The 22,233-nt window shown below is 47.4% G+C and overlaps 1 long non-coding RNA gene across 1 annotated transcript, besides 3 other annotated features; it reads left to right on the forward strand.

Moving 5' to 3' along the window:
• Nucleotides 5,984–6,243: an enhancer, noted in NCBI's record as "active region_861". NCBI's record gives its function as "activates an Ori minimal core promoter by ATAC-STARR-seq in GM12878 lymphoblastoid cells {active_cell/tissue: GM12878}" and the evidence as "EXISTENCE:reporter gene assay evidence [ECO:0000049][PMID:35858748]".
• On the forward strand, nt 6,653–18,400 carry LOC124904159 (uncharacterized). Its single transcript, XR_007066027.1, has 2 exons — nt 6,653–9,910; nt 18,216–18,400. It is a non-coding gene; the product is annotated as an uncharacterized LOC124904159 (long non-coding RNA).
• Nucleotides 15,060–15,354: an enhancer, noted in NCBI's record as "tiled region #968; HepG2 Activating non-DNase unmatched - State 13:Ctcf, and K562 Activating DNase unmatched - State 8:EnhW". NCBI's record gives its function as "activates a minimal TATA promoter and a strong SV40 promoter by Sharpr-MPRA in HepG2 and K562 cells {active_cell/tissue: HepG2 | K562}" and the evidence as "EXISTENCE:reporter gene assay evidence [ECO:0000049][PMID:27701403]".
• Nucleotides 17,641–17,810: an enhancer, noted in NCBI's record as "experimental_8062 CRE fragment used in MPRA reporter constructs". NCBI's record gives its function as "activates a minimal promoter by MPRAs in K562 erythroleukemia cells, with activity observed for both the introgressed and non-introgressed 1:41799595 variant alleles {active_cell/tissue: K562}" and the evidence as "EXISTENCE:reporter gene assay evidence [ECO:0000049][PMID:34662402]".
• Nucleotides 18,401–22,233: the final 3,833 nt, after the last annotated feature.

Consider the following 22,233-nt stretch of genomic DNA (forward strand, 5'->3'; position numbering starts at 1 on the left):
AAATACATATAGGCACACAGGCACAGACACCACTCTGCACACCCTCCAGGTGGTGACCCAAGATGCGAGACTTGACTATGAGCCCGATGGATGGCCCCGAGCTGGTTCAGCAGCCTCATAAAAAAGAAAATCCTCAGAGGTCAGGCATCAAGGTCACCATTCTCCCATCTCTGCAAGGCTGTAGTGTGAAGGGAGAAATGGAATCGTCTCTGTGGAGCCTAAGAGCACAGAGCTCTGACCTTGATTGGAACTGCAGATTTAGACCTAGGAGAACGCAGAGCTGTCCAAGAATAAGATGGCCAACTTCAAGAGAGTGAGTGCCCCATCAGTGGAGGTGTGCACAGGGATGCTGGATAGTCACTTGGTAAAGAGGACGAGAAGGGACTCCTGCATTGTACAGGAGTGACCTGGATGCCCTGGAGATCTGTCCCAGTCCAGATTTTGTGTCCTGAGGTCTGTGTATCCTCTTCCTCAACCCCTGTCCCATCAGTGACTCCCTTCCTCCAGCCCAATTCTCTAGACAGAAGCCAGGAGTCCCGGCCTTCTGCTTCTCTCCCTTATGTGATTTTTCTTCCAAGATCATCTTTAAGGTGATGATTCCATTTTTTTTCCCCAAACCTCCATGGCCCTTGCTCTAGGCTAAGAGGGAGATGCAGGCTAGAATCAACTCTTCTGCCTTCTGTGCTCTCACAGCCATTGCCCACCCCCACCCCACCCTGCACTGCTAGAACACAGCCCATCTCTCTTCCAGCCTTGGGGCTGGGTCAGGCGGGGTGGGAGTGCTCCTCAAGGGGATGGGAGTGGGAGGGGCCCAGAGCTGAGTTGAGAGGCCAAGTGGTCAGGAAGGAGAACCCGCTCCTGGCAGAGCAGACCCAAAGGCATAGGAGCTCAGATTCAACTATGGTGCCGATTTGGGGGCTGGAGATTGAGCCTGAAGGAGCTGCCTAGAGTGGGGTCCATTGGCTGAGGTTGCCTGAAGTGGAGGAGCTTGTTCTGTGGCCCAGAAAGCCAGGATCCTGAGACATCTCGTTGTCATGCCAGACCCTTATTAAATCCAGTAGGGATGGCGCCAGGTTCAAGAGGCCAAGGAAGAGACTCAGAGCCAGCCAACAAGACATGGGGTTTAATTAGTGGGAACTTACACACAGAGCAGACCAGCAGGGTGGGTTAGATGGAGAACCACACCACCTGTGAAAAGCATGCAGTTTATATAGCACCTTCCCTTAGCACCCTCCCCTTAACAACCTCCACCTGGCCACCTTCATTTAACCCAAAACAAAGGGCCTGGGTACCCTGTAGGGCCCGCATTCCATGGGACAGGCTGGGAGTTTAGATGTTCCTCATAGATAAAAATGAATCACTGGGTTGGCCACTCCCGGATTCCTTAGCTCAGAACTCCAAACACACATTCGGGTATGTCTCCCACACGGGGTAATTCTCCGGGTATGTTTAAGTGATGCTACTGCTGTCGGGTGTGTCTGCCATACACTCTTACAATGGAAGCAGGACCAGGATAGGACTGCAATGGGGGTAGGTTCAGAACAAGCTGTGGGTGTCCAGCATGCTGGCCAGGAGCTTGGTTGGACCTTTAGGGGCCTGTGTGAAGGACTGAATGACTGCCTTAAAGTGTCAGCGCTTAAGTGGATTCCAAGGGTCATGTCCAGAAGATCAGATGGCCAGAAACAAGAGAATTAAGAAGTGAGGTCAGAAACCAGAGACTTAAAACCTAGATGGCCAGGAAGAGCCCTTTGGACATAAGCTGATTTTCTTTCCATGGGGCCTGGTAGGATCTGGGATCCAAGAGCTTGTCAGGGCACTTAAAGGAATCTTACAAGGATGGCAGATACCATTATCGTGTGTTCCACTTCCCCATCCTCTGTGTCTTTCCCCCATTAGACAGGAGTCTCTCTGGGAAAGACCTTGTTTTATGCCTTTGGAGTCTCCCTTCTATGCTTCTCACAGTACCTGGCACAGAACACATCTCAGCAGGCTTTGTGACAGTTGAATTCTGCCTCTTGACTCTGTAGCTGTGGTCTAGACTCAACCTTCAGGCTCCACTGGTCTCTGAGGCCCACCTCCCTCTACAGCCATCATTATCTGACTCACCAGCAGTGGGTCTCCTCCCTAGTTCCCAGGACTGATCCTTCCTGGCCTGAGGCTGGAGGGGGTTAGGGGACCCAACCTGGCCCTGGATGCTGGACCCCAAGGCCCCTTGGCTGTTGCTGAACTGGGATCACCTTATTCTCTACCCATGTGGCCAGGTCCCATTCCAGATTCCATCTAACGCCCCAGTTCTGTTGATGGATTTTCAGTTTATTCTGTTTGTTCATTCAACAAATATTTACTCCTCGTCATTATCAGCCAGTTCTAAATCTTCATCTTACCTGAGCTGTCATTATCCTTAAGGCAGATGATCACCTCCTCCCTGAACCCTTTCAACTAGGGCACCGCACTGGCCTGGTTTTTCTCTTCCCTTCCTGACCAAACCCTCTCAGCCTCTACTGTTGGTTCCTCCTCAGCTCCCTCCTTCTTAATGTTGCAGTCGGTGCCACAGGTTCAGTCCTTATCCCTCTTCTCTTGGCCTACCCTCACTTCCCAGGGGATCTCCTCCAAGCTCATGGTTGAAGGACTCTCTCTCTGCCAGTGACTCTCAAGTCTCAGGTGCATTTCCTCAGCACACACCTCTGCCCTGAGCTCCAGACTGCGCATCCATTGGTTTGCTCATTTCCACCTGGATGGCTATAAGGTATCTCAGACTTTAACCAAACCCTGGATTTCCACCCCTAACCTTTTTCTCCCATAGTCGACTCAAACTTGACAAGTGGCAGCTCCATAAATGGTAACTCTTCAGTGACTCTCACCAAAGACCTAGGAGTTACCTCTCAACTCCTCAGGAAACTCAGTCCAAGCCACTATGATCTCTTGTCTGGGTCACTGCTGTGGCCCCACTCTTGTCTCCCTGCTTCTGCCTTTGTCTTCATCTCCCCTCAACAGCCTCAGATTGGAGGCTCTGCCACTTGCCCTGTTCTCACCTGCCGTGCCAGCCACAGACTGACGGTCTTGGCCCAGTGCTTTTCCCTTTCTCCTGGGTCAGCCCTGACCTCTCATTCCCATAGGCCTGGCTCCTGTTCCTACAACACTAGACCTCCTGATGGTGACATCAGCTCAGAAGTGACACAGACAACTCTTCTGTTCCTACCCATGCTATCTCTTCTATCTGTCCTCTGTCACTGCAGATCCAGTATTTTTGTGTCCACACTTAGTAGTCCTGAGGAAAAAAAAAAAAAAAAAAAAAAAACAGCCAGGCCTAAATCTCTAGGCCCTTGGCCAATATCTGGGGCTCAAGAGCCTGCCAGGAGCTGAAGGTCATGGGGCTGGGGATGCCAAGAGGGTGGGGTATTTCTTTTCTGTTAGGCTTTCACATTCCCTGTCTCCTTTAATTTCCCCCAGATCCCTGTGAGGCAGGAATAATTTCCCCTCCTGTGGGTGAGGGGAAGGAGAAAAGAGAACTCACTTGACCACAGCTGCACAGTTAGTTGGGATCAGAACCTGAGCCACCTGGCCCCATGCTCCTGAAGCTTTGACCTCCATGGTCATTAAAGACCAAGTCATATTCCTCCCACCCTTCATACCTCCCCCTCCTCATTTTTCATTTACAGAAGAGGTCACTGAAATCCAGAGGTGGGGAGGGCCTTTCCCAAAGTCACAGAGTGGCTCAGTGACTGGGCCTGAAGGAGTCCCAGGCCTCCAGGCACTGCTGTTCCCCAGTGGCCCAGAGGCAGGACGGGCACACACCCCAAGGCCGGCCCTCCCCCCACATGGCTCAGTTCCTGCCTCCCAGACTGAGGTCTGGAGCCCTAAATAGAACAAGCACCACCGTCTCCCTTCTCAGGGAGGGGAAGCCAGCTGTGGCAGTTGTGGCAGGCGGAGAGAAATTTTCCCTTTCTGTAGATTGGATCAGTCACTCTCAGAATTGATGGCAACGGCTTCATCACAAAGATCTAATGCTTTAATTATGTTGTGACATGACCTGACATGGGGGTGGCATTTGATGGATTCTCTGGTGTCATCAGCATGGCCCTGACATAGGAAAGTGGCAGAAGGCAGGGGGTGGGGAAGAGGAAGGGCTCTCAGTGGGAGACGTGTCCTTCCAGGGCCCCCTACCTTCCCCTGCTCTCTGTCTTCCAAGGCAGTCCTGCAGTAGTGGAGACTCAGGAGAGGAGGGGGAGCAGCCCCTGTGCAGGGGAGGGTGGCTGCGCCCTTCCGGGATGGACTGGATCCTGGGGGCCCCGTAGGAGTGCATGTGTGTGTGTACCTGTGTGCATGTGCCTAGATACACAGGGACATGTCGGAGCGGGTGAGAGGGATTCAGACCCATGTGGTAGAAGTAACAGCTGCACTGCTGTCTGGCCTGCAGAGGACTAGGAGGTGGAGGCCAGGGCAGGACACCTGGCTGGTCTGCATGTCCTGGGCTGTCGTGAGCAGAAGGAGCAGATGTACTCAGGCAGCCTGGGAGCAGGCTTAGCTCAGCAGAGAGAGGGCTCCCTGGCCAGGGAATGCACAGCTTTAAAAGGCACTGAGCAAATGTCTCTGGGAAGGACTGAGGGGTTGCTACAGAGCAGATCTTTTCCCTTGGTGGGCACTTGGTGACTCCCTACCTCTGGGGCTAGGATTGCATGTATCTGTGGGTGAAGGGGTTTGCCTCCCTCTTTTCCTCCCACCCCAGCTGCCTGCTCAGAGCCTTATGGGGCCTTCGGTGTGGCAAGAGTGAGAAGCAGGCTGCCGCCACCCGGCCAAGCTCATTTCCAGGATGCTGGCACACGCGCCCCTCCTCTGTCCGCCTTCCCATCCGTTCCTGTGGCAAGCTCTTCTTCCCCAAGGCCGGTGGGCTCTAGGGAGTCCCACTTCTCTGCCAGCCAAGTGAGAACGCAGGCTTGAAGGGGAAGGAGGAAGAGAGACTTGTTGGCGGGGCTCCCGCTGGGTCGAGAGCAGTGCCTTCTGGAGGGATGCAGCGTCTTGAGGAATCCTCATGACTACAGATAACAGGGGGTGAGCTGGTATCTCTCTCTTACACTGGAGGACAGTGAAGCTCAGAGACACGAAATTGCCTGCTTAAGACTACACAGCTAGGAAGGAGTGAATTGGTTTCAATTTAGCAAATGTTTGTTAAGTGACACCTGCACACCAGGCCCTGCCGAAGAAGTTGCAGGTCCAGACCCTGTCCTCAAGCAGCACAGCATGCCCGCAGCTGTCCCTGATTCCGATGACGCTGCCCCTTCCACTGCTCTGCTCTGCCTTTGCCAGGGGTGTCTGTGGTCAGCAGCCCAGGGTGGGGGGAAAGCATCAGAGCAGGTGACCAGGGAGTGGGGTCTGGCTCTGGCGCCTCAGTCACCAGTCCTGGTCTTTGGGGAAAGTACAGTTTGAGAAATATAAGACCGGAGGGTCCTTTCAAGCTCAGTTTAGTGCTCTCCTCCCGCCCCATCCCCATGGTGCAGAAGAAGAAATTGAGGCCCAGAAAAAAGACTAGATGGGCCCAGGGTCACCCAGGAAATTAGAATAGGAGCCAGGATTTCGACCTGGTTCTCCTGACTCCTGGGTCAAACTTGACCATGGCTGTACCCAGGGGCCGGTGCTACCAGGCATGGTCAGGAAAGGCTTCCAGGGGAGCCTTGCATTTCTTCTAGAAAGATAAGTTAAAGAAAGACCAGTCAGAAAGGAAACTCCCAATGCCTGGGAAGGTTTCACAGCCTGAAGAAAGCTCCACAAGCCCATGCTCATTCCTAAACCCACCCCAACCCAGCCTCAGAGAAGGGTGTGGGAGGAGGCCTGACTGGTGAGGCCCGAGGTTGCTTGCTGCTGGGGCTGTGTCTCAGAGATGTCAAGGTGGGGAGAAGGCAGGAGCTGTGCCTTGATTGGTCTCTAAAATCCCCTGCAGGACTGGATGCTCGAAAGTGATGCTTGAGCAAGACAGGAGAACAGAAGGGCCTCCCTGATATAGAAGCAGCCGCAACATGTGTCTGGACATGCACAGAAGCAGGTGCTTCTGTGTGTAGCCTGGGAACTGACTGTCCCCGGGTGGCAGGAAGACTTTTTTAGTAGCCCCATGAATGAGGAACTGACGGTCTGCACAGGTGAAGGTTTGTGAGCAAGAGCTGGGTCAGAGAGGAGGCACCTGTTCTTCCAGAGGGGCCTGGGTCTGGGTGTGATGGGGTAATGCAGTGTGTGTGGTGCGCCGCTGCTGGGTGACTACCCAAGGCTTAACTGTGGCTGGGTGTTGTGGGTGTCTGTGTGTCAACGTGTGGTCAGGTATAGCCATATCTGGCCAGGCTGGTATGGACACCTGTTCCTGTCTTCGTGTCCCATGGGTGTAGCTGTGTGTACCAACCCAAGTGTGAGTCTGAATGGAGCTGGACTTTTTTTTTTTTTTTTTGAGATGGAGTTTCTCTCTTGTTGTCCAGGCTGGAGTGCAATGGTGTGATCTTGGCTCACTGCAACCTCCGCCTCCCGGGTTCAAGCGATTCTCCTGCCTCAGCCTCCTAAGTAGCTGGGATTACAGGCATGTGCCACCACGCCCAGCTAATTTTGTATTTTTAGTAGAGATGGGGTTTCTCCATGTTGGTCAGGCTGGTCTTGAACTCCCGACCTCAGGTGATCCGCCCACTTCCCAAAGTGCTGGGGTTACAGGTGTGAGCTACCACGCCTGGCTGGACTTTTAGTGACTGTAGCTCCAGACATAGCCATAGCCCCCAACAGCTCTGTGTGCTGGAGCTGTACCTTTGTGTGGGTGTGTTGGAGACGGCCTCTGGGGTAGCCTTGGCCCTGTGACCTGGGCTGTTGGAGCTCTGTAGCAGGTGGCCCCCATCACAAGGGGGCACTGTGCATCTTCCTAAACCATCACCGCCGCTGGTGGCCAGTGTGTGGGCAAGGAAGGCTGGGAACTGGCACAAAGATGCCCTCAGCCAGGCCCAGCGCTTCTGCCCCTATTTCTCTGGGCAGTCCTGGCTCTCCTCAGAGTTTTTGCCCTGGGGGAAGGGAAAGGATGTCATTAAAAATCCTACCTAGTAAGTCTCATGGGAGGGGTCCATAGCGATGTCTCTCCCAACTGCCTCATTTGACAAGTGGAGAAACTAAGGTTCAGTTGGGAAATAACCTCTCTCAGACCCAAGCCCGGGATCACTTCCCAACCCTGAGATAAAGCCACATGTGCAACATGTTCCAACATGTGCAACAGCTTCCAACACAGGCCGTAAGTGCCCATTGCAAGACGGGTACTGACAGTGCATGTTGGAGCTGCTCTGGCCTGGGTTTCTGGTTCTGACTCCATCACTTACCTGGCGTGTGACTCTGAGTCTCTGATGCCTTTCTCTGGGCTTCTTTTTCCCATCAGTAAACTGAGAGGATTGATGCCTTTGCTCTTCAAGCCCCTCTTTTCCAGCATGGGCCTTCTAGTTCCTACAGGTTAGAGGTCAGTGTGACCTGGGAGCAGTGATGGTTCTGTGCACCTGGTGGGTAATTATCCTTGTTAAAGACGGCTGGGCATTAAGCATAGCCCAGAGAACTTAGGGTCACACATGACTTAGTGGCTGAGTCAGGATGAGAAGAAAGTCAGGCCTCCTGGTCCCTCACCAGCGCCCGCTGCCCTACCCCAGCACCCCCTGCCCTACCCCAGCAGCTATCCTGACCCTCTCTCTGGGCATAGGTATCAGTGCTTCATTGATACAACCCTGTGTTCCTCCTTGAAGTTGTCTTGCCATTTCCCAAGTCATCTGCCTCCCATATCCATGCCGGGCAGGTCCTGTGCTGGAGACTGTCCTCTCCACTCCCTTATTGAGTCCTAGGAGAAGCCCCATTTTACAGATGGGGAAACCAAGGCTTGATGGAGTTAAGAAATAATAGAAGCTATTATTTTTAAACCTTCTCTGTCTCAATGCCAGACTCTGTGCTGGACACTCACTAAAGTGGGCAGAGAGTGACTAGTCCAACCTCCCAAATTTTCCCCCAAATGGTGCCGAGACCTGCCCGGGATCTGCCAGCCTGATTTAGACAGCAATTTGCATACAATTTACCCAGAAAGCTGCACTGTGAAAAAATATAATTACTTTTTTAATATTCTCGCTCTGATGTGAATGCTTACTGCCCGGTAATGAATTACTTGCTTAATGAAGATAAACCTGAATTGGAGATGCACTTCGGACGGCTGCTGCGGCGTCCGGTTTGATGCCATCATTTGCAGCTGTTAATTTCTGAAATTGATGCCCTTGTTGGTGGGATCATAAATTGAGGGGGAAATCTATGAGCTCCAGCACTTCCAGTTTTTTACTCTGTGGCATTGGTGGAGCTACTTAGCCTCTCTGTGCCTCAGTTTCCTCATCTATAACAAGGGTATTGGGGTAAGTTAGAACTATATAAATGTGGGTCCATCTCACAGTAAAGTGATCTTTACTGGAGAATGATTGAGCATCTACAATGTGTCAGGTGAGAGACAGAGGGGAAGTGATTTATTCAAAGACACTCATGGACTCAGAGGCTTCTGAACTAGAATGAGTAGCCACAGCTTTGTGTCCAGGTGCTACACTTGGATCTCTTCTCCTAAATGGCCTTGAAGATGCCTCCTGACTGCTGGTGATGGGAAAGAGAGCCAGGCTGAAGTCAGACACTGGTAGGAGAAAAAAAAAAACAAAAAAAACTGTGGAGGTGTGGCCACTGGAAACTCTACCCGTTCCTTTACCTGATGCTAACCATGTCTGGGGACTGATCACAGAAGAGCACAGGGCTGGGGGCCAGCACAACAAGCCAACGATTCAGCAAATATGTAGTTACTGCCATCTATGGCCATATGTTTTAGGCTCCTAGCACACAGCCATGAGTAAGACCAGCAAGGTCCCTGCCTACATGGACCTGAAATTCTAAAAGGTGTGGTGAACACATAGCGATAATAGATGAGTTAACTAAGAATAAAGATAAAGTCAGATAATGATAAGTGAAATAAAATTTTTTAAATAGATAATATGAAACAGATCAATTGAGGGGGTAATTTTGACTTGGCCTAAAAGACTTCCCTAAAGAGGTGACACCTGGACTGAAATGTAAATGATATTAAGTCCCAGCATTTTGGGAGGCTGAGGCAGGAGGATTGCTTGAGCCCAGGAGTTTGAGGCTGCAGTGAGCTATGATTGTGCAACTACATTCCAGCCTGGGTGACAGAGCAAGACCCCATCTCTAACTAACTAACTTAATAACTAACAAACTGAATGAATGGATGAATGAATAAATGATATTAAGGAATCAGCCCTGTAAATATTAGAAATGTGATTCCAGGTGAGATCAGAAAAGTAGGTAGGAGGTAGATCATAAAGAGCCTTATAGGTTGTGGAAGGGACTTTGGTTTTATTTTTTGTGCAGAGGGAAGCCACTGAGGGCTTTCATAAGGGGAGTGATATAATTTATTGGCATTTATGAAGATTATTCCATAAAAGAAAATAGAAAATCTGGAAAACGATATCTATTAAAGAAATTGAATTTATAATATAAAAATTTCCCACCCAGATGGTTTCACTGGTAAATTCTATCAAATATTTAAGGAATAAATGATACCAATCATACACAAACTCTCAGAAAATATACGAGAGAACATACCCCAACTAATTTTACGAGCCCAGAGTAATCCTCCTGCTGAATTATTTAGTTCTCCATAGCTAACTATGCTGATAAGTAGTGGCTTAAAACAATAATTTGTTGTTATTATATCTCATGATTCTAGGGTCAGGAATTTGGACAGACCACAGTGGAGATGGCTAATCTATGCCCCACGGTGTCTGGGGCCTCAGCCGGGGTGACTCAAAGGTGTCTGTGATATGTAACAATTGGAGGCTGAGTAGGCATCTTTCTCTCCTCTCCAGGTGGCCTCTCGGTGAGCTTAGGTTCCCTCACAGCATGGCGGCCTCAGGGTGGTTGGATTTCCTACATAGCAGCTTGGATCTCCAAGTATGAGTATTACAAGAGGCCTGGGAAGAAGCTTCAAAGCTTCTTACAACTTTACTTTGAAAGGGCACTTCTTCTTCTTCTTTATTTTTTATTTTATTTCATTTTATTTATTTATTTATTTTTGAGACGGAATCTCACTCTGTCACCCAAACTGGAGTGCAGAGGTATGATCTCAGCTCACCACAACCTCCGCCTGCTGGGTTCAAGCGATTCTCCTGCCTCAGCTAGGTAGCTGGGACTACAGGTGTGCACCACCATGCCCACTATGTTTTTAGTTGAGATGGGGTGCCACCATGTTGGCCAGGCTGGTCAACTTGAGCAACTAGGCCATGATGGTGTGTGACTTACTGAGATGGAACAACTGGTAGAGGAATGGTTTGGGGCGAGAGGAATCAAGTCTCTGTTTCATATGTACTAAGTCTGGGAGACCCATGAGGCCATATGGAGAGGTGTTAAGGAGGCAGTTGAATATATAGGTTTGGATCCTGGGAAGAGATCAGGACTGGGGATTTATATTTTAAAGTCAATGTGTAGATGATATTCAGAGCCAAGAGGGTGCCAGGTGCAGTGGCTCATGCCTGTAATCCCAGCACTTTGGGAGGCTGAGGCTGATCATTTGAGCCCAGGAGTTTGAGAGCAGCCAGGGCAACATAGTGAGACCCCATCTCTGCAAAACATAGAAATTAGTCAGCTGTGGTGGCGCAGCCTGTAGTTCAAGCTGCTTGAGAAGCTGAGGTGGGGTGAATGCTTAAGCTGGGAAGTTGAGGCTGCAGTGAGCCACGACTGTACAGCCTGGGTGACAGAATAAGACCCTGTCTCACAAAAAAAGAAAAAAAGAAAGAGAAAGAAAGAAAGAAAGAAAGAAAGAAAGAAAGAAAGAAAGAAAGAAAGAAAGAAAGAAAGAAAGAAAAAGTGAGTTAAAGCCATGGGGCAGAATGAGCTCAGCTGGTGAGGGAGACTAGATAGAAGAGAGAAGAGAGCCAAGGCTTGTTCCCTGGGCCACTCCCACTTTTAGAAGAGGGGACGAGCAATAGAGTTTAACACAGGAGCCTGAGAGAGGTAGGGAGATGGACAATTGGGAGAATGAGGTGTAGAGAAAGTCACTGGGCTTGGGGAGGGGAGAACGGGGAATGTGGGAGGGGGCCTAACCCCCATTTTCCAGTGTCTTCTATGTGCCAGACGCTGTCTTGGGAGATTTACATGCACTCCTTCAGGACAATGTTGCCAAGTAGGGATTATTGTTCCTATTTCATGGATGATAAAACTGAGACCCAGATTGGTGAAATGACTTGCCCAAATCATACAAATAGGGATGGAGAGCCTGGATTAGCAGCCAGATCTGTCTTTGAGATTCTTTCCACCACCCTCCAGCAATCATGCCTCCAGCAGGGGTTGCAGGATTGGGGGAAGCCACTTATGGTTTCTCATCTGTAAAATGTTCACCTTTCAGGGTTATGAGGATAAAATGGGATAATCCGTGTTAAGCACCTGGCAGCGCTTAACCGGGTGGGCCCTTAGTAAACAATAATGACTGTGGCTATATGTGCAGAGTGCAACAGAGTCTCGCAGACAGTGACTGGTACTGGGGGGAGCTAGGGGGTGACGGGGTGAGGCTGTGGAGTAGGCTTCCTGTAGGAGGCCCAATGTGAGCTGAGGATTCCGTGGTTTGAAACACTGATCTGTGACAAAGTTTCCAGTGGTTCATGGGGTGAAATGAGAAAAAGGACAACACAATGGGTTTTATGTAAAGCTAAATGTGTTCAATGTAAAGGATTACTCTTTATCCTGAGATTATGTCCTTCCTGCTTTGTTGGTATTAAAGCATCCTTTTTATGAAACGATGGTGGTTAGAGGATGGTAGTTATATTTTAAATATCTTTACTAATGAAATGAAAACTTGGCAACCTTCGATCATTCCCCACACTTTCTTTTGAAGTTTTTAACTGATCCATGAAATTCAAAAGTCTGACAGCCACTGACAGCTGGAGCAGGGAGGGCATTCTAGGCAGAGAACTGCATGTGCAAGGGCAAAGTTGGCGGGAGAGGCACAGGCTGGTCTGGAACTGCAAATAAGTAGCAAGAGCAGTAAGGGCAGCTGGGAGGTCCAACAAGGAACCAGGAGGCCCCATCCTGGGGTGGGGTGGTCACCCTGTGAAGTCCCTACCCTCTCTTCCTGCTGCCCAGCATGGCAGGAGAATTCCCTGTGCACTAAGGCTGCTCCCCAGGGCATCCCATGACCATGTGCAATGTGTGCGTGTGTGTGCATGCGTGCATGTGTGTGTGCCTGCATCCTTGGTGAGGCAAGGAGGCCAGCCATGGACTGACGGGGTCTTGCCTAATAAATCTTGAAGAGACATACAGGATGGAAATAGAGATCAGGAAAGACACTGGGGAGAAAGACAAGAAAACCCGGGACTATCTGAGTAGAAGGAGCAGTGTCTGCATGTTGGGGCACATATGTGCATGTGTATGTGTGCGTATGTCCCTGAGAGCATGTGGACCGGTGTGTGTGTGTACATTTGCATTGTAAGAAAGTGTGTGCTATTTCTGGGTTATCCATGTGGGCAGGGGGAAAATCTCTGCTGGCTCTATTAGGCTTTGGCTTGAGTGTATGTCCAGTGTATGTTGGGGTGCTTTGCTGCTGGTGCAAATGTGGCACTGTTGTGCATACTGTACATATACAGATATGAGAGATAGGTGAGAGGTGTCAATACTGTGTAGCTCAGTGTGTCTGTGTGCTGTTAGGTGGTCTGTTCAACATGGGTAATGTCTCTGGGCTGTGTGTGTCTGTGTGTGGGCAGGAGCCACGGTGGGCGTGTACTGATGGTACTGAGTGTGAACTGTGTGTGTCTGTATGTGGGGAGGGAGTCTATGGTGGGTGTGTGCTGATGGTACTGAGTATGAACTGTGTGTGTCTGTATGTGGGGAGGGATCCCATGGTGGGTGTGTGCTGATGGTACTGAGTGTGAACTGTGTGTGTCTGTATGTGGGCGGGAGTCCATGGTGGGTGTGTGCTGATGGTACTGAGTGTGAACTATGTGTGTCTGTATGTGGGCAGGGAGTCTGTGGTGGGAGTGTGCTGCTGGTATTAAGTGTGAGCTGTGTGTGTCTGTGGGGAGAGAGTCCATGGTGGGCATGTGCTGATGGTATTGAGTGTAAGCTGTGTGTGTCTGTATGTGGGGAGGGAATCCGTGGTGGGCGTGTGCTGATGGTACTGAGTGTGAGCTGTGTGTGTCTGTATGTGGGGAGGGAGTCCATGGTGGGCGTGTGCTGATGGTACTGAGTGTGAGCTGTGTGTGTCTGTATGTGGGGAGGGAGTCCATGGTGGGCATGTGCTGATGGTATTGAGTGTGGGCTGTGTGTGTCTGTATGTGGGCAGGGAATCTGTGGTGGGTGTGTGCTGATGGTATTGAGTGTCTGTTGGAGCCCAGGCTCCCCTCCCTTCCCCCACTCTTCTGATGACCCAGGCTGCCAGTCTTGTTTATTTCCATATGTTGTCTGTCTCTTCCAGGCCTATGTCTGACTCTGACCAAGGGCTCATATACATGACCCTTGGAGATGGAGATTGGTACAGGCAAAGTCCTTGCTCCCTTCCTCTCCAACCCTCCCAGGCTCCGGTCAGCCCTAGGCTGCTAAGCCTCAGGATCCTACTTTCTGACCTGAGGAGGAAGAGGCCTTGTGGTTTAGGGATGGCCATTGCCAACCCATGTTACCAGCTTACTTTGGTCCTGTAGAGGCTCTCCATGCCTCTCTATATCCTTCCCATTCCCTGGCCCCGGCCAGCCTGTATTTCAGCTTTCTCCTGGTCCCTGTGGGGAGGCTTGGGTCAGCCTGCTCATCTCCAGCCTCCTCCATCATCCTTTCTGCCAGCCCCAGGCCCCTTCTCCAGCTTGTTCAGATTCAGGTTTCTGGACCAGGCTGGCTCATGGGGAACAAGTGTCTTCCCCAGTCCTGCCCTTTCCACAGGGGCCACTTGTCCTCTGCCCAGGAGCCTGCTGAGAGAGTTCAATGGAGAGAAAGAAATGCGGTGGGGGTGAGACAGTGTGTACAATGTAAACAAGGGTTCCCCCGTGAGTGGGTGTTTGTGAGTCTCTGCAAGTTGGGGCGTAGGAGGGGGGTGTCAGTGCTGCTGCCAGGGCCCATGCATGCAGCGTGTGCAGACAGACTGGGTGGGGGCGGGGCCTCACATTTATCCAGTGCTCACTGCTCGCCAGTCAGGATGCTAAGTGCTTTACTCAGATTATCTCATTTAATAAGTGTGACAGTGTGTGAGAGGGTGACAGAGACGGGGCAGAGAAGGGCAGGTGGTCAGGAGGCGGCTGCTTGCAAGTCCCTGGCAGAGTATTTCCTTAATCCATCCCAACAGCGTGCCCTGCTGGGTCTGACCCAGGCCTCAGGCTGGGGAGCAACCTCTTAGCCCCTCTCCATATGGAGACACAGGAGGTGGGAGCAGGCTATGCCCCAAGTTCCCGGCCCACCTCCCTGCCCTGCCCTCAGCCAGAGGATGTCCCCTCCCAGAACAGAGGGCTGCCTGCTCCTTTCCTTTTCTCCTGCGTGTGCTCAGTACAGGGCCCAGCACTGCAGGTGCCTAATTGGTCCCTACCCCTTAGCAGAGGCCAGGCCGACCTGAGGAGTTGTCTGTACATTCAATCAGCCTAGTCCCTACTCTGTAAATCTCATATAGAGGAAATGAGAACCCCCATGGTTCAGAGGAGCCAGGCCCCAGATATGAAGGAAGCAAAGGGGTCCAAGCTAAGGCCAAGACAGCTCACCGGTCATTCCACCGGAGGGAGCAGGGCTGCAGGCCCCACCAAAGTCTCGGAGTCCTGCCTCTGACACCCACTGCTTCACCTACTCCAATTCGTTGCTGGCTTTTAGGTAAGCTAATATTTGCCTGAGGATGCTTAGAAGTGAGGACTGGGGTCTCTTGTCATCCAGGTGGGATCGTCGCAGAGGTCTGATGGCAAGGATGCCATGGATTTCTAGAGGAAGAGGGACAAGGAAGGAAGGGAGGAGGGAGGGAGGGAGACCATGAACATGAATGGACTCCCTCCTATGCACAAACTACCCCAGGGGACCAAGCGGCTACCCAGAGACACTCAGACAAGTATCAGAAGACCGACCCTGAGCCGCAACAGGGGGAGGGCTTCCAGGAGGAAGTGGGCCTGGGACCGAAGCTTGGAGGGATTGCCATGGTGAGGAACACTGGGGGAGGAGCTGTGGGAGTGGCAAGCCCAGAGGAACACAGCCTTTCCGAAGAGCACAGCGCCCCCACCTTCCCCGGAGCTGCAATGATAACAGTAGCTATGAGCACCAAATGTTTTCGGGAAAACAAAAATATTAGCCATTATTTAAGGAGTATTTTGGGGAAAATGCCATTATTATTCACCCAAAGTCTGTGGCACCACCAGGTACTCAGGCTGAAAACCTCAGTCACTGTCCACGTCCCCCTCCACAACCCACTTCCACCCACTTCCAAGCAGTCACCAGATCCTGAGTATCCTCTTTCTCAGGGATTGGGGTCAGACAGACCTGGGTTCCATCCCAGCTCCATCACTTGTCTGCTGTGTGATCTTGGGCAAGTCACTTAACCTCTCTGTGCCCCAATTTTCTCTACTGTACTGAGAGGATGATAACAGTACTTACAGGTTTGTTGTGAGAATTCAACAAGTTAACACATATAAAGAGCTTAGCACAATGTCTAGCAGAATAGACACTTAGGAAACATGAGCTATTTTTATTTCCACTAAACTATGTGTTTCCCCAGATCAAAACTGTGCTTATAACACTGTCCTGCTGAGGAACCTGCCAGTGCTGCCTTGCACCTTGCAGCCCAGCAAGGTGGAACAGTCAGGTCTTCCTAAATGCATCATGCTACCTATATTAATTAGTCTTCCACAATGAAATAACACAGGCTGAGCAGCTGACACAACAGAAATTTATTTTCTCACAATTCTGGAGGCTGGAAGGCCAAGATCAAGGTGTTGGCAGATTTGGTTTCTCCTGAGGCCTCTCTCCTTGGCTTGCAGAGGGCTGCTTTCTCACTGTGTCCTCACATGTTCTTCCTCTGTGCACATCCAGCCCTGGTATCTTTTTATGAGTCCAAATTTCCTCCTTTTATAAAGACACCAGTCAAGGCCAGGCATGGTGGCTCACGCCTGCACTCCCAGCACTTTGGGAGACCAAGGCGGGTGGATCACTTGAGGCCAGGAGTTCGAGGACCAGCCTGACCAACATGGCGAAACCTTGTCTCTGCTAAAAATACAAAACTTACCTGGGTGTAGTGGTGCATGCCTATAGTCCCAGCTACTTGGGAGGTTGAGGCACAAGAATTGCTTGAACCTGGGAGGCGGAGGTTGCAGTGAGCTGAGATCGTGCCATTGCATTCCAGCCTGGGTGACAGAGCAAGACTCTGCCTCCAAAATAAATAAATAAATAAATAAACCAGTCAAACTGGATTGGGGCCCACCTTAGGGCCTAATTTTAATGTAATCACCTCTTTAAATGCCCCATGTCCAGATACAGTCACATTCTGAGGAACTAGGGGTTAGGGCTTCAACAAATGATTTTTGGGGCTGGGCATGGTGGCTCACACCTGTAATCCCAGCACTTTGGGAGACCGAGGCTGGCAGATCAACTGAGGTCAGGAGTTCGAGACCAGCCTGGCCAACATGGTGAAACCCCATCTCTACCAAAAAAACATACAAAAATTAGCTGGGCGTGGTGGTGCACACTTGTAGTCCCAGCTACTGAGGAGGCTGAGGCAGAAGAATTGCTTGAACTTGGGAGATGGAGGTTGCAGTGAGCCAAGATTGTGCCACTGCACTCCAGCCTGGGTGACAGAGCAAGACTCTGTCTCAAAAAAAAAAAAAGAAAAAAAAAAATTTTGGGGGGGGTCGTAATTCAGCCCATAGCGCCACCTTCCTTCTCTGCATCTTTCTGCATGTTGCTGTTCTCTCTGCCTGAAACACTGTCCACATTTTCTCTTCTTCTCCCAAGAAGTTCTCCTACTCATCATCTAAAACCTAGACAGAGCGTCACCACCTCCAGGAAGGCTTCCTAGCTAGACTGCTGCCTCCTCTGGGCTCTCACAGCCCACTGTGTTGACCTATATCATGACATGTATCACACTCTAAGAACTGTCATTTGCTGGGGTGGATGCCTGTTGTTTTGATCTGTACAGCATCCCATTCCCCCTCTGATAACAGCATCTTCTTCTCTTTGAAGAAGTGACGCCCCCTCACCCCCTCCACTCCTGTGACTGTGGCTCAGATGACTCAGTAAATTACAGTTGCTGCTTCTTGCCGCAGGAATGAGCATGTGATGAAGCAGAGCCAATCAGAGTCCTTCCCTGAGATTTTTATCTACAAATGTTGGGCAGGAAAATGCTGATCTTTCCTCTGGGGTCCAGAATGACGTAAACTTGGAGCTTTGTGTGGTCATGGCCCAGATTTGTCCTGCCAGGAAGGACGTCTATCTGCAGGGGAAAGAATCAGGCCCACGCCCAAGGGAAGCACCTATGAAGAGCTGGTCACTCTATGTAAATTTTAAGCTTTTCATATATAATTTTTTGTGTGTTTTGGGCAATACATTTAAAAGGTTCAAAAATCAAAATAATACACACAGCTATACAATAAAAAGTTTCAGTTTTATCCTTGTTCCTGTTAACTCATCTCCTATCACATGGATAATCATGTTTTAATATTTCTTGTGGGTCCTTCCTATGGTTCTTTATGAAAATATAAGTGGCCGGTCACGGTGACTCACGCCTGTAATCCCAGCACTTTGGGAGGCTGAGGTGGGTGGATCATGAGGCCAGGAGATTGAGACCATCCTGGCCAACATGGTGAAGCCCCGTTTCTACTAAAATACAAAAACAACAACAACAACAAAAAATTAGCCTGGCGTGGTGGTGCATGCCTGTAGTCCCAGCTACTCTGGAGGCTGAGGCAGGGGAATCACTTGAACCTGGGAGGTGGAGGTTGCAGTGAGCCGAGATCACACCACTGCACTCTAGCCTGGTAACAGAGCTAGACTCCGTCTCAAAAAGAAAAAAAAAAAAAAAGCAAAGAAAATACAAGGAAATAATAATATATATTATTTTTCTCTCTTCTTGGAAAAAAGAATACTATACATTCTGTTCTACACCTTGCTTGTTTTTATTCATTTAGCAATATATCCTGGGGTACTTTCCATAAATTACTCTGTGACCTTTCTCTCTCTTTTCACAGCTGCATAATATTTCATTGTATGGATAAACTACACAGTTCCCAGTGATGAAGACCAAGATTGTTCCCAATCTGTTTGCTATTATAAACAGTGTTGCAACAAACAGGCTTTGTGTGTATCATTTCATATGAGTACAAGAGTTTCTGTAGACTTGACAATAAAAAGATAACCCAATTGAAAAAACAGACAAAGGATTTGAATAGTCATTGCTCCAAAGAAGATATGATAAGTATATTAAAAAGTTGCTCACCATCATTACCCATTAGGGAAATGCAAATCAAAACCACAGTGAGATACTGCACATTCACTAGGATGGCTATAATCAAAAAGACACATAATAACAAGTGTCTTAGTTCATTTCAGCTGCTATAACAAAATATCGCAGACTGGTTGGCTCAAACAACAGAAATGTTATTTCTCATGGTTCTGGAGGCTGGGAAGTCCAAGATCAAGGGGCTGGCTGATTTGGTTTCTGGTGAGCCCTCTCTTCTGGGCCTGTAGAGGACCACTGTTGCACTGAGTACCTAGGACCTTTTTTTCCTCTGCATGTGTAGAGAGAGAGAGACAGAAAGAGAGCACACAAATGTATGCTGGTGTTTCTTTCTCTTTTATTTTTATCAACTTAATTTAATTTTTAGATTTCAAATTATGAAATATTTAAAGAATACAGTAAAGTACAGAAAAATATAATTGACCTCTATATAGCCCATTCACTTGATTTAACAAATGTGTGGTATTTTGCCATGTTTACTTCAGAACTCGCTCTTTTTGTAGAAAATAAAAATATTAAATACATAGCTAAAGCCCAATCTCATCCCTTCCCGCTCCCTCTCCTCATGTTAACCACTAGCCTGAAATTATGTTTTTATACTTTTATTGCATATTTGAATGAGATCATAAATAATACATTGGCAGCTTTTTTCCAATATTTTTATTGTGCTAAAATACATACAACATGAAATTTACCATCTTAACCATTTTAAAGCATATAGTTCAGTGGCATTAAACACGTTCATAAAGTTGTGTGACCGTTACCCCAATTCATCTCCATAACTCTTTTCATCTTACAAAATTGAAACTCCATTAAACAATAACTCCCCATTTCCACTTCCCCCTAGCCCCTGGAAACCACCATTGTACTTTCTATCATTATGATTTTGACCACTCTAAGTACCTTATGTAAGTGGAATCATACAGAATTTGTCTTTTTGTGGCTGGCTTATTTCACTAGTATAATGTCCTCAGGGTTCATCCATGTTATAACATATTGCAGAATCTCCTTCCTTTTTTAGGGCTGAGGAATATTCCATTGTATGGACATATCATCTTTTGCTTATCTATTCATCCACTGATGGACATCTGGGGTGCTTCCACACTGTAGCTATTGTGAGTAATACCGCTATGAACATGGGTTGATAAATATCTTCCTCTTCTTATAAGTGCACCTATAAGAGCCATATTAGGGCCTCACCCTTATGATAAAGGTATAACCTTTATCACCTTCTCACAGGTCCTATCTCTAATACAATGACATAGAGCTTCAACACATATATTTTGAAGGGACACAAACATTTAGTCCAAGACAATGGATGAGAATATGGAGAAATTGGAACTCTAATACATTGCTGGTGGGAATGTAAAATGGTACAGCAAATTTGGAAAACAGTTTGGAAGTTCTTCAAAATGTTAACATGGAGTTATCATGTGACCCAGAAATTATCCTAGGTATACAACTAAGAGAAATAATAACACGTTCATAAAATTGCACAAAAGCTTGTACATGACTGTTCATAGCAGCATTATTCATAATAGCAAAAAATAAAAATAATCCAGATGTCATCAACTGATGAATGGATAAACGTGGCATATTCATATGATGAAATATGATTTGGCAATAAAAAGAAATGAAGTACTGATACAGGCTACAACACAGATGAACCTTAAAAACATTATGCTAAGTGAAAGAAGCCAGTTGTGAAGGATCACGTACGATTCCATTTATATAAAATGTTCAGAATAGGCAAAACTATATACAGAGAAAGTAGATTAGTGGTGGCCTAGGGCTGGAGAAATTGGTAGAAAATGGAAGTGACTCCTTAATGGGTATGAAATGTTAGGGGAGAGATGAAAATGTTTTAAAATAAATTGTGGTAAAGGTTGCACAACTCTGAAAACAAACTAAAATTTGTTGACTTATACACTTTAAATGGGTGAATTGTGTGGTATGGGAATTAGATCTTAGAAGAGCTGTTAAAGAAAAAAAAAGTTTCTTGTAGAATAAATTCCCAGAACTGGGACTGTTGGGTCAAAGGGAAAATGCATTTAAAATTTTTTACATTTTTACCCTCATCAGCAATGTATGAAATAGCAAGGCAGGTACATTTTATGTAGGAGGAAACTGAGGCACGGACAATCCAAAATCACATAATTAATAACACCCGAGCTGTGACTGAAATCAGGTCTGTTGGACTCCAAAACATGTGCTCTGCTGCAGACAATTCATTTGGTATTTTTCCAATAGTCATTTGATCTTCTTTAAAAAAAAAAAAAAAAACGTAACTTTTGATTGCATTGATTTTCTTTGTTGCTTTTTCGTTTTTCTATATCATTTATTTCTGCTCTGATCTTTATTATTTCCTTTTTTTCTGCTGATTTTGGTTAAATTCACTCTTCTTTTTTCTATTTCTTAAGATAGAAGCTGATAACACTATTTGAGACCTTTCTTCTTTTCTAATATAGGTGTCTAGTCCTATAAATTTCCCCCTAAGTACTGCTTTAGTGGTATCCTACAAATTCTGATATGTTGCATTTTTATTTTCACTTGGATCAAAATACTTTCTAATGTCTCTTTTGATTTTTTTTTAACTTGGAGGTTATTTAAAGTGTCTTATTTTGTTCTCAACTATTTGGGGATTTTCCAGATCCCTTTTTGTTATTGATTTGTAATTTAATTCCACTGTGGTCAGAGAACATGCTTTGACTAATTTTAGATGTATTGAAATTTGTTTTATGGTCAGAATATGGTCTATCTTGATAAATGTTTTTATGTACACTGAAAAATGTGTATTCTTCTGTTGTTGGGTAAAGTGTTTTATAAATGTCAGTTAAGTTGGTTGATAGTGTTGTTCAAGTTTACTATACATTCTTGATGATTTTCTGCCTGCTTGTTCTATCAATTATTGAGAGAGGGACATTGAAATATCTCCAACTGTAATTGTAGATTTGTACATTTTTCCTTGTAATTCTATCAGGTTTTACTTAATGTATTTTGAAACTCTGCTATTAGGTGTATAAATGTTTGGCACTGTTATATTTTCTTAATGAACTAAACACTTTATCATTATGAAATGACTCTTTATCTCTGGTAATATTCTTCACTTGAAATCTACTTTGTATTATATTAATATAGCCATTTCAGTTTTCTGTTGATTATTGTTAGCACAGTACATCTTTACTCATAATTTTTACTTACTTTAACTTATTTCATATTTAAAGTGGATTTCTTTCTTTCTTCTTTTTTTTTGAGAGGGAGTCTCGCTGTGTTGCCTAGGCTGGAGTGCAGTGGCACAATTTTGGCTCACTGCAACCTCCACCTCATGGATTCAAGCGCTTCTCCTGTCTCAGCCTCCCAGGTAGCCACCACACCCAGCTAATTTTTGTATTTTTAGTAGAGACAGGGTTTTGCCATGTTGGCCAGGCTGGTCTTGAACTCCTGGCCTCCAGTGATCTGCCCAGCTCAGCCTCCCAAGTTGCTGGGATTATAGGCATGAGCCACTGAGCCCAGCCTAAAGTGGATTTCTTAGAAATCCACTATGAATCAAGATTCATAGAATTGAATCTTGCTCTGTACAAACAATCTGACAGTTTGGCTTTTTAACTGTGGTATTTAGACCATTTATACTGAATGCGATTATTGATATGATTAGGTTTAAATCTACCTGCTTGCTATTTGTTCCATGTATTGTTTCTTCTCTTTTCCCTCTTTTTCTGCCTTTTTTGGATTGGATATTTTGTGACTTC

The sequence above is a fragment of the Homo sapiens genome, chromosome 1 (assembly GCF_000001405.40).
Source record: "Homo sapiens chromosome 1, GRCh38.p14 Primary Assembly".
Lineage (NCBI taxonomy): Eukaryota > Metazoa > Chordata > Mammalia > Primates > Hominidae > Homo > Homo sapiens.